General features: G+C 35.6%; 1 protein-coding gene across 8 annotated transcripts in view; it reads left to right on the top strand.

Moving 5' to 3' along the window:
* The window catches only part of ASXL3 (ASXL transcriptional regulator 3), a 172977-nt gene that overhangs the window by 90055 nt on the left and 70519 nt on the right, over positions 1-12403 (top strand). For all 8 annotated transcript variants that reach the window (XM_005258356.2, NM_030632.3, XM_011526205.3 and 5 more), the window contains 2 exons: positions 2400-2517; positions 3474-3593. In XM_005258356.2, the coding sequence (XP_005258413.1) occupies positions 2400-2517; positions 3474-3593 (238 nt within the window). The remainder of the gene's footprint in view (positions 1-2399; positions 2518-3473; positions 3594-12403) is intronic.

Raw genomic sequence — 12403 nt, forward strand, 5'->3', positions numbered from 1 at the left:
AAATATTAGCCAGGGGTGGTGGTGCACACCTGTTATCCTAGCTACTTAGGAGGATGAGGTGGGAGGATTGCTTGAACCCAGGAGGTGGAGCTTGCAGTGAGCCGAGATTGCACCACTGCACTCCAGCCTGGGCATCAGAGCGAGACTCCATCTCAAAAAAAAAAAAAAAATAGGAAAAAAAATCTTTTTATATAGTAGGCATTTAGTTTTGTTTGCCTACAGACACATAATGTGTGTCAGTGCTTTTAAAAATATTGTACTAAGAAATAGTCAGGTTGTCTGATCAGGAGACATATATTCAAAAAACATCATACAAACAGGCTCAATATTGGTCACCTTCCTTTATCCTTGCCTTGACTATACCTTGTCTTTTTAAAATTAAAAATTGCTATGGGTTTTTATTCTTATATCATTTTTATTATGGTTTTCTTCTGTCTGATTACTAATTTTTCTATAGCAGAGTCCTCTCAGCTCTAGAAATTGAGGTCAAAATTTTCGTTGCTTTAATTATTATTTACCACAAATGCTCTAAAAAGACATGCCAGCTTTGACTTTATGATTCCAGCTTCTAATTAGTTCATCTTTTTTTCCCTAAATATTTTCTAAAATAAACTCTAACCAAACACACACACACACCACACACACACAAACTATTTTTAAAATGTCTAATTTTTTTTTCCATGAGAAGTAGTTTAAATATATGCTATAAAGACTCCTAAAAATTGATCACTCTTTATGCAGGTTTAATTGTTTTGTGAAGTCTTACATAATGGGCAAAGATGGACTTAATTGTAATTTAAATTGCTATGCTATGTTGCTGTATTCTGTTTTATTATTGATTGATAGGTTAATTTCTATAAAGTACTTTGAATTCTTATACAATGCTAGACAGATTGATTCAATTATGTGCAAAATTTATGTGCAATTATGTATACATCTTGAAGAAAGAGTAAATGTCTTAAATATTTTATAACACATATGTCCTCATTAAATATATTAATAACAGCAGGCTAAAGGTGAGAAGGATGGCATCTTATTAATCTTTGTATTTTTTGCCCCTCTCCCATATATAGTACCTGGGTACTTTATGAAAACTTAATAAATGTAAGAATCAAAGAAAATATGTCTTATGTTATCATTAGCAACCATATCATTTGTAATGGATTTCCCAAGCCTTTACTTTCTCATCAGGCTTTAAATCTTATCTGAATAAGTTGTCTGCATAATTTAAATGCTTTCTCTCATTTAAATGGTATTTAATTTTCACTTCTATAATTATTTGATTGCTAAATCTTATGGTTGACAAGTTGGACATCAGCTAATACCCTTTGCAAATAAAAGGACATCGTTTTTTGATAGCAAGGGGAAATACAGTCAAGGCAGTCTTTCAGGAGATTCTGACAACTCTCAGTCGAAGAACATTAATCAAGTAACTGGGATGTTGTAAAATTGGTAGAAATTACACAGAAACTAGGAATAAAAAGGATTGAGGCAGTATGAAGCCAGCCTTTTAACCTTTTGAGGAGTTTTAGCATTCCTGTGGCTGTGAATTTAATGGCTCTTCAGTTTCGTGTGCTTAAGACCCTTTTTATTACAGGTAATTTTCTGTATAAAGTGATCAGCTAGATAAGCTGTATTTCAAAACTTTTAAATGTCTTTTATTACATTATCATCACCGTGGTCGATTCATTTATGAAACACAAAGTGCTCCCATTTGGACAGATTTATTCTTATATTCATTTTTTTCCTGGATTTGCTAGAATCTGTCATGTTCGTGTTCTGAAGGTTAATGCCCAAAGTCAAGCAGACAGAAGCCAAGTGCTGCAAGGTTTCCAAGATTAGGACTGATTCCCTTCACAGAAATAAATGATTCCTGCCATGTTGAGTGATTTTGTGCAGTGCTCCCCATGGCTGAGTGAGTGCATCAATACTGTAGTCCTTACATGCTGTACATACTGATGACACTCAGTGTTAACTTGATTGACTGAGCGGTACGCTGGAGAGGACGCACCTGCGAGAGAAGTGCAGACACATATATTTTTATCCTGGTTTCGAAACATTTATTTTACATTCATTTGACTTGGGAGTCATAGTTTCAAATTCCATGGACTCTCAAGCCACAGTGCTAAGGTAGAAGAAACCATTAAGTGCTGCTTTGTTGTTAGAATTATACCGAAAATGGTCTCGGGCTTATACCCTTTGCCAAAGCCTGATTTTATGCTTTTGAGGGAAAATGACATGAAGGTAACTATTAAGAATCCTGAGAAATTAGGGGCTCTGTGGAATTTAAGTCTCTTAAGAGGTTCTATGTAATGATGGACAAATGAGTCACTTAATTCAATTATGAGAAATTATTTTGGCTATATTTTTATGTTATATCTTTTTATTATGTTTTGTAGGCTTTGAGGCAGCAGCAGAAAAGAAGAAATGGAGTCTCAATGATGGTAAACAAGACTGTTCCTCGTGTTGTTTTGACACCATTAAAGGTGTCTGATGAGCAGTCGGATTCGCCTTCAGGTAAAGAGCTGAAATATCATATGCTTGGCCAGTTTCTTCCTGGAGGAGACTTCCTCACTGAAAGAGATGTCATGATTTTTTTTCTGAAACTGAATAATACTTCCACTTGAGGTTTGGTTTAATTTCTTTATACCTTTGACTCAGTGATTCAAAAATATAGACTATTTCCAGTTCAGAAAAGAAAAAGGTACCAGCTTGCTTGCCTCATCATCAGCAAATGTCTTCATTTGCTAATGACAGTAGGTGTAAGAAAATGTGTAGGCGAATTTTGTTGTTGTTGTTGCTTTGGCTTTTGTTTGAATGTTGAACTTTAAGGGTGGACCACATGCTGATGTATAATACCATCAAAAGCAGTTCTCTGTGAGTGTGAATTTGTTTTTCAGTCCTGTGCTGCAAAGTCAGAAATCCTTTTATTAGTTTTTGTGTTCTGGCAGCATTCTTCTCACCCCAGTGCAGCCCTGACCTTGTCTTCTAATTTACCTTGTGTCACTTTATCGGCTATGTACTATTCTATTTATTGTGGATTAACGTTTGTATTTTCTGTTCATACTTCAACATAAAGCTATTTATAAAGGTATAATCTCTCCCTCTCTTCAAGATTCCTTTCTTTTTCATCTTTCCGTGTCTGTCTTGTGTTGTCTCAGAATGGCATAGTATTGTTCAAGCTTATTCGTGTATTTTACAAAAGACCTGACTCTATTTCTTTTAAAAGCTATCAGATCAATGAACGTAGTTTTGACTCCACTATTAGGCCATCTGTTCTTGCTTTTTGTTCTGTTTGATTGATTTATTGGGCTTCTCTTTTTATATCCAGTAGGGGAATCAGATTGTGGCCAAAGGTAGTGTATTAACTCTAGAAAAGGAGATTATATCTACAGTTCCTCAAACAATTTTAGATTTTTCTTTTCAAGGACAGCTAGAGAAGATAATGACATAATAACTATTTCCTTTTTTAGGATCTGAATCTAAAAATGGTGAAGCAGACAGTTCAGATAAAGAAATGAAACATGGGCAAAAATCTCCCACTGGAAAACAAACAAGTCAGCACTTAAAACGATTAAAAAAGTCTGGTTTAGGTGAGTGTTTAATAGACTATGCCATTTCACATTTTAGAAATTTGTGTTTTCTCAAATAAATTATCTAAAATTTTCAGAACATTTTTTAATGATTAAACAAGGAAATTAAAATTTCCCTCCATTTATCAAAACCAAAAAGAATGCTAAATAAGGAAACATTCTAGTTACAACTGAATGGTCTTAAGCCTATTACTAAATTTGTGAATGATAATATTGGATGAAGCAGAGGGTAAAAATGAGACTTAAAATGATACATGTAAAATAATTATCTGCCGGGTCATGATACTATCTAATGTGCGGTGTTTTGTCTGTGCAACTAGGTTTCACTTTATTGGAATATGCTGTCTTGGAAGAAAAAAATGCAGTCTTTATAAAGGGTTCACTGAACTGGAGAGTACATTGTCAGTGGGGTCTGCTGCAGTAAAATTGCTCTTCCTTGCTTTTTGTCTATGCTTCTTAAAATATTTAGTAGTGCCTGTCTGAAAAAATGTAAAATTGCTGAGAAATGTTGGAGACACAGGCCACGGGTCTTTCAAATCAGCACCAGGTTTTCTTCAACATACTTCTTTCCTGATAACTTTTCATCAGGAACCCCCAACAGCATTCAGGGAGAAAAGAGCATGAGAATTAGAAAGACAAAAATAAACATATCCTGGTTTGAACATTAGAATTCTCAACTGCCACTGGCTTGTTGCTGCACCTAGATCCTGATGGCTTCATTTCTCTGAGTTGTTTTAGCTGTGAATAGGATCATGATAATAACCTGGATCGTTACAATATTTTGTAAAATGTTTGGCAGAAACTGCAAATTTATTGACGTGAACTTTATTACCTGTTCTGCCACTTACTTTCTTGGCAACTTGAGATAATTCTTATTTGCAGAGTGTATTTGTTTATAAAATTCAAGATTTTATCTGATTTTTTTTTAGTAAAGTTTTGTCAGTTGCTACTATATGACAGACATTTTGCTAAATCTTGGGACATACTTCTAATAAAAAGACTTTAAATAGGATTTATTTATATTTAAATAAGAGACCTTTAGGAAAGCAGAATCTCTTTTTTATTTAAAGTCTTTAAATATAGCATACTTCTTTGTTTTGCATTATTTTAAGGCCAAATAATTTTAGTTATTCTCTATCCCAAAATGTATGTTTGTGTATAACCATACTTACCTGTACATGGACATATTCTTTCCTAATACTCTGGGTGTTGTAAGTATTTTAATATAAGTTACTTCTGAAATAGAAAACTATAGTGGGAGAATGATAGATAAAGAATATACTAAAAATCCAAAACAGTACCACATTATCATACACTAAGGAATTTAAACATCTGCGGCCTTTAGTTAAAAACAGCTACCAACCTCTGTAAAGTTAGTGCCATGTAATGAGTGTACAAAAATTTAAGGCACAGGGGCATCCCCATTTATTTCCTTAGTAACTTCAGGAGCGAAAGTTACTAAGGTATACCCTTATCAGTATCCTCTCAGGGGCTGAGATCTTCAGTATTTTTTTTTTTTTTTTTTGAGACAGGGTTTCGCTCTTGTTGCCTGGGCTGGAGTACAGTGGTGCCATCTCAGCTCACTGCAACCTCTGCCCCCAGGTTCAAGTGATTCTCCTGCCTCAGCCTCCTGAGTAGCTGAGGCACTGCCACCATGCCCAGCTAATTTTTGTATTTTTAGTAGAGACAGGGTTTTACCATGTTGGCCAGGCTGGTCTCAAACTCCTGACCTCAGGTGATCCGCCTGCCTTTGCCTCCCAAAGTGCTGGGATTGCAGTGGGCCACCATGCCTGGCCCAGGATTTCTTGTATTCTGATTTTTGTACCTTGAAGTCCATGCTCAATGAATTAGAGAATCAGAATTTGTTTTAATACTGAAAGTCAACTGAAAGATATAAAGACTGATATACAAGCCTGCTTTTAGGAAATCCTGCATGCCACTAAATACCTTATGTGTTAAATATCGTGTTGCTGAAGTATTTCCGCTGACTTGTTAGCAAATTAAAAGATAATGAAAGAGCGCCCCCAATCTTTCAAACCTGCTTTGTTCTAGACTACAAAGTAATGGAGATAATGAAACTACTTTAATGGAGGAATGGAGAAGTGAAGTCACATTCACTGGCCATATATAATGGAATGGTCTAGGTATTTTGACATAAGTTATGTCTTTTAATTTTACTTCAGTTTTGTACAGTAGAATGACGTCTGTTTTACAGCTGAAGGAGCTGAGATCCTGAAGGGTTAAGGAGGTTACATGAAGATGACACAGCTAAGTGATACAAACCAAGGCATATCTAACTCCAAAGTCTAAGCCATTCATTTTGGATAGAATCTGAATGTCAAATCATCTAACCTATATTTTAGACCTGTAGGTGCCACTGAGGGAAATACAAGAAATGACATGGTGAGACTACCATAGGTGTTAAAGTGCAGGTCTAACTACACATGGAAGGAGAGCTAGCAATTGTAAGATTTCTCACCCTATCCTGTATCAAACACAAGGAGGAAGAAGGTGAGATTTAAAATAAGCCAGTTGAAGTACAATTCTGTCAAAAATAAACTGCAAGTGTTTACTGGGTAGGAACTGTGACTGGCTGACTAACCTATCAAGCAGCTGAATGGAATGGCTTATTTTGTGCAAATGAAGTCAGTAGTACTTTCAAAGTTTCCAATATATGCCCAGCAGTAGAAAATGAAAAAACATGGAATGAAAGGATGGGCCTTAAATGTAACCATCTCCAGAAAGTAACCCATGTCTTTTTTTTTTTTTGAGACGGAGTCTCGCTCTGTCGCTCCAGACTGGAGTGCAGTGGTGCGATCTCGGCCCACTGCAAGCTCTGCCTCTCGGGTTCACCCCATTCTGCTGCCTCAACCCCCCGAGTAGCTGGGACTACAGGCGCCCACCACCACACCCGGCTAATTTTTTGTATTTTTAGTAGAGACGGGGTTTCACCATGTTAGCCAGGATGGTCTCGATCTCCTGACCTCATGATCCACCTGCCTCGGCTTCCCAAAGTGCTGGGATTACAGGCGTGAGCCACCGCACCCAGCCACCCATGTCTTTTTTAGACAATGATGTTTTTAATGCCCTATTAGAATCAGACTGATATTTAATACTCTGTAAGGGTTATTTACGTACATTCTGCTCTTTGCCATTAAGTTGTTAACTCCTTGGAACAGTGGCCTTTCTGTCTACATCTGTAGTCCTTACTACAACCATCATAGCCCTTCTGTTTAGTAGGTTCTCAATGAGTTTGGAATGAATGACTGATTCTAATTAACTGAATGGCCTAGAAGTTTGGATGAATGAATGACACATCCTAGGGTGTCCATAGTGAAGCTCCTCCTATCTTCTTGAATAAAAATGATCCTGTGTTTGTGGAGAAGGTCATTCTTTGCATACCAGCATGTAGCAGAATCAGTGCAAAGGAGTGATCCCACCTCATATCCTTTAGCCAGCCAGATAGAGACAGCCTGTATTCCCTCTTCTATTTTTTCCACCTGAGTTAGACATCTAATTCATATGGTCTTGGAAATGAGGTTTTTTACTGTCCTTGCCTTCTCTAGGTAGTGGTAGGTATGTATAAGTCCTAACCTGTTGAAACCATGCTGAATTAAAACAAATGCTGTAAGTCTGTTCTAATTTAAGTTAATAACTCTGAAACAAAATCCAGTGAAAACCAGAGTTCAGGGTGTTAGTCTACAATTTTTTTCTCATTGTGATATTTTCCTAAAAGGATAGAAAATTCTTCTGATTGTCCCCTAAGTGCTTCCTCTTGATTTCTAGCAATTAGTTGCTTTATCAGATTGCAAGATATTCACCCTGTGCAAGGCCTGAGTTTCACTTGGGCCTTAGCATCTAAGGAGTGTAGCCTAAGAGACAATGGACCCCAGTATGTTCTCTCAACACTCTTCAGTACAGGAGGCACCATGGACCCCCTCAGACCCTTTCATGCTCAGCTTCCCTAGAGAGGGTTAAAGCGCACAATAAAACAACAATAAGAAGAAGAAGCTTCAAAATTCCTCAATCTCAATTTTAAATGTTAAGTTGAAAATAAAAGAAAAAAATTCCTCGGTTGGCTGGGTGCAGTGGCTCACACCTGTAATCCAGCACTTTGGGAGGCCAAGGCGGGCGGATCACGAGGTCAGGAGATCGAGACCATCCTGGCTAACACAGTGAAACCCCGTCTCTACTAAAACTACAAAAAATTAGCTGGGTATGGTGGCAGGCACCTGTAGTCCCAGCTACTCGGGAGGGTGAGGAAGGAGAATGGCGTGAACCCGGGAGGCGGAGCTTGCAGTGATCTGAGATGGCACCACTGCACTCCAGCCTGGGTGACGAGCGAGACTCCGTCTCAAAAAAAAAAAAAAAAAAAAAAAAATTATTCAGTCATTCTAATTCTGATGGTAACCTCGACGTTCTCCTGAGAAATATACCACCCAGCTTGGGAAGCTACGACTGTTGATGTAGGGTTTTTCTTTTGTTCTGTTTGTTTGCCCATGGCCAGGGTTATGTATGAAAACTATGATGATATTTCTCTGAGTAGCCCACTGATTGAATAGACTTGGTCACGGGGTGAGTGCAGTTGAAAAATACAGTGCTTCTAAAATGGTATGTATTTCTCTGATGAGGTTATAATGAAACAAAACAAAACTTTGGTGGTCCCTTTCCTATTTCTTAATCAAGTACAATAGAAAACACTGTTCTGATATGCATAAAACAAATGCTAACAATGTCTACAAGGACTCCTTTATTATAGACCTTGAAAATTATTTTAACAGTAAATGTTAGACTACCAAATAACCAGGCAGTAGAAACTTTATCTGCTGGGATGAAGTGTAGGTGCCTGCTGCAAATGCGGTTTGAAGCATGTGTTTTTCTTGCCTAATCAGTTGTTTTAATAATACCCTCTCTCCTTGTCTTAGCAAAGGATAAACCACTTAAAACCCTCCCCCATGAAGTTTTCTGAGACAACCCTAATACATTATCATCTCACTGTTTTCATGGCACTTAGAACATAGATTTGTGAATGCTTTAAAAATTCTTTAGTAATATACTCTTACCATTTGTTTTCTACATCTTGATATCTTACAATTTTCTCTAACTAAAATGTAAGTTCCTTGAATTCAAGGTCATTGACCTAAACTAGTTTTAATTATACTTCTTCCTACCCAGTCACATAGTAAGAGTTTAAAAAGTGCTTGCTAAACAAATCTAAGCTTCTAATGGATGTCTCCGAGGGGGTTTTAATAAATGTCCTTGGTGGGCTTAACTTCTGGGATTCATTCCAATGTATTTTATTTGGTTTAATGTTTTTGGAGTGAAGAATTATAGCTTTGTTGGTTTTATAAAATGGCACATACTCTTTAAATAAATCAAAGCATAAATATAAAAATAAAGTTTGAATAATAACCCCACATCTTTTCATACAAAATAATTATCTCCAGTGCATTATAAACATTATTTGACATTTCTTACTGTGTATCTATAGCCAGAGATATTAGAAAACCTGTATTATACCATTTTAATTAAAAGTACAAAATTTAATTAATTTTAGATTAAATAAAAAAGTAAAACTAAAAAACAAAATTGTTAAATATTGCCACAAGATATATTTATATCTAAAAGTTTTCTCCAGAGTTATTACAAATATAAGAAACTGAAATAAGAGTGATTACCTTTTTAACTACTCATTTCAACTTTGGACAATGTATTATAAAAAGATAGGGACATAATTACACTACAGACCTTCCTACCTGCATGTTTTCGTTACAATACTTTTTGAATATCGAAGTTGATAACATTCATGTTCTGTTTGTTTAACCATAATTCCTATAGTTCATTAACCCTGGTACTATATTTTAATGGACTCAGTGCTCCATGTAGACTTTTTACACAATTTCTTCATTTGTGAAGACTACGTGGATTCATGTTGTGTATTGATTAGATTTTGCCTTCTGATAGATATTTTTCCCATTAGACTTTATTCTTTGAAAGCCGATTTTTCTTCTCTGAGCGCCATTTAATTTAATTTCATTTTAGAGACATAGTCTCACTCTTTTGTGTAAGCTGAAGTGCAGTGATACCATCATAGCTCACTGCAGCCTCAAACTCGTGAGCTCAGGAAACCCTTCTGCCTCATCTTCCCAAGTAACTGGGACTACAGGCATGCGCCATTATGCCAATGTTAATTTTATTATTTATGTATTTATTATTTATTTATTTATTTATTTATTTATTTATTTTGGATACAGGATCTTGCTGTTTTCCAGGCTAGTCTGGATCTCCTGGCCTCAAACAATCCTCCCACCTCAGACTTTTGAGTAGCTGGGATTACAGGAATGAGCCACTACACCTAGCAGAGCTGTTTTTCAGAATCATTCCTCTCTAATTCCTTGAGATCATGAAGAACTCTTTGGTTTTGAACTCAGTGTTTGAGCAGTGCTTCTTGTCTGCCTGGTCTGCCTTTTGTGTTTGCTTCTCTATGTGAGTGTGTCTGCATCTCTGTGTGTGCACACTTCATGCATAATCCTTGTGTGGGTTCCCTTCTGGGAAATGTGAGTCCTGAAGCCAGCAGACTACCCAGTGATCAATAAGTGTTCTGGAGCCTGCAACTTTCACAAATTGTGGTCTTCAAATTCCCTGTGGCCAAGATAATAGAGAATTTCCCTGACCTTAATGGAACACATTCCCCATGATTTTTATCATGAGATCAGTCAGGTGTCTTCTTGTATAGCATAGGCTGTGGCAACGTAGCAATTGTTGGTTCTTTTCCCCTTTGCCCTACCTCAGACCCTCTAGGCTAAGTGGGAATTAAACGCTAAAATGACTACATCTTTTTTCCTTCTCTGGGTACTATAGGGAGATATGAGGTACCAACTTTAATGAGATAAGACAATCATATATAATTGGATTGTTCTTAAGCCAATTAAGAGTACACGTGTAAGGATAATTAAAATGGAATTAAACATCCTCTGTGGCAACAAATTTAGTTCATCTTCTCTGTCTTTGTTCCAAAATCATAAAACACATTTTTGCTTAGGTGGACATCTTTGAAATAGATCTTCTTTTGACTTTGTCATAAAAGACTGTGTGCCTCTCTGAAGTGTCTTTATTCTATGATATTCTTAAACATTTTGAACCATGCTAAATAATAGCAGTGTAAGTTCCTATTTCTCACATTGCTCATAACATGTTTCGGAAGTAGAAAATAAAACGTTTTACATTTTTCTCAGTTTTCTAACATTTCCTCCAATCAGAGTTACTCTCAATAAATGACCTCAACTCTGTTACATGAGAATATTTATGCCATATAATAAGAATTAAGCAAATTTTTTTCTCTCTATATATATATTTTAACATTTTTGCCTCTAGGTTTGGCCTTTGCCTCTACTTCTGAGAAAAGAAGCTTCTTCCTAATTCTGGTCTAAGATTTTTATTGTGAAATATTTCAAACATATGGAAAAATACAGATGCTAGTAGAACAGACACCTACATACCCAACATCTCAACTCAACAAATATTAGATTTTTTTAATGGAAACAACTTGTAAAATTTTATGTATTTATAAGTAAGATTGGCTAATACAGTCTCTCTCATATTGTCTTGCTGCTCTTTCTTTTGTAATAAAGATTGTATTATTTTTATAAAGTCAATTGAAGAAGTTTTTTCTTTTTTTCTGAAATATGTGTATAATGAAATAGGGAGTTCCAGAGATAGGTCAAGAAAGTAAGTCTCCCACCTCACATAAAGTTTATCTTTAGAGCCATTTACAATTTGTGCTTTGTGTGTATGTGGGAAAGAGGGCGTTGCGTACTGATTCATTTTTTAAAAAGTTTTTACACATTTATCATTCTCTTTTCAGGTTAAATTTGGAAATGTATAAAGCTTAAAATATTTGTATTCAATGACATTGCAAAGAGTCATAATATTATGCTTTTTAAAATCTACTTTTAATTACATCTGCCTTTAGATATGTACTCTGTCAAGTATTGTGTCCTTACCTTTCATTCCTCTTCACATTTGTTTATACCATCTCAGGCCAGAGATGTCCTTTAATAGCTTAATAAAAAATACTTTTTTATTGTTGATGGTTTTCATTATTCTTTTCTGTTTAACGAATGTCTGCTTTTTTCTTCTCATCTTTCCTTCTTTCTTATTATTCTTTAGTTCATTTATTAATTTCATTATTTTTACACGTAAGCCTTTAATTTTCAATTTTTTTCTACCCTCTAATATATGCAGTTTACCTTTAAAACCAATTGAGTGGCATTTCAAAAATTTCGGTATCATTAAAAATTCAAATACTTTATAATTTCCGTTACAATTTTTTTTTCTGTAACGTGTAAAGCACATGCAAGTGTGCTTTTGAACATCTAAACATATAATGGATATGTAGGGTATTAGATAATTGATACCTTTCTAATATGGTACTGTATTTAATTTGGGACAGAAAGATGAGGCTGTATATTATTCTTCAGTATCTGTTGAGACTCACTGGACAGTTGTGTTGTGTTTTGTTTTCTTGCTGCTTTTGAATCCTGGGGGAAAAACATGCTTTCTCTAATGGTTCAGTACAATGCCCTGTGTTAAAGTCTTTGGTTCAAGATTGATTATTGAGTTGTAAAAGTTCTCTGTAGCCTTAAGACAATTATTTTGATCCAATCTATCAGGTTTTGGTAATGTATGTTAAGACTTTCTGGTAACATTATGTGATGTCAATTTCTTTTTTATTACCTGAATTTGACATTTTGAGGCTGTGCTATTTAAATGAATGTAGGTTCAAGGTCACTATATATTCCCAGTAAATT

Source organism: Homo sapiens, chromosome 18 (genome assembly GCF_000001405.40).
Source record: "Homo sapiens chromosome 18, GRCh38.p14 Primary Assembly".
Taxonomy (NCBI): domain Eukaryota; kingdom Metazoa; phylum Chordata; class Mammalia; order Primates; family Hominidae; genus Homo; species Homo sapiens.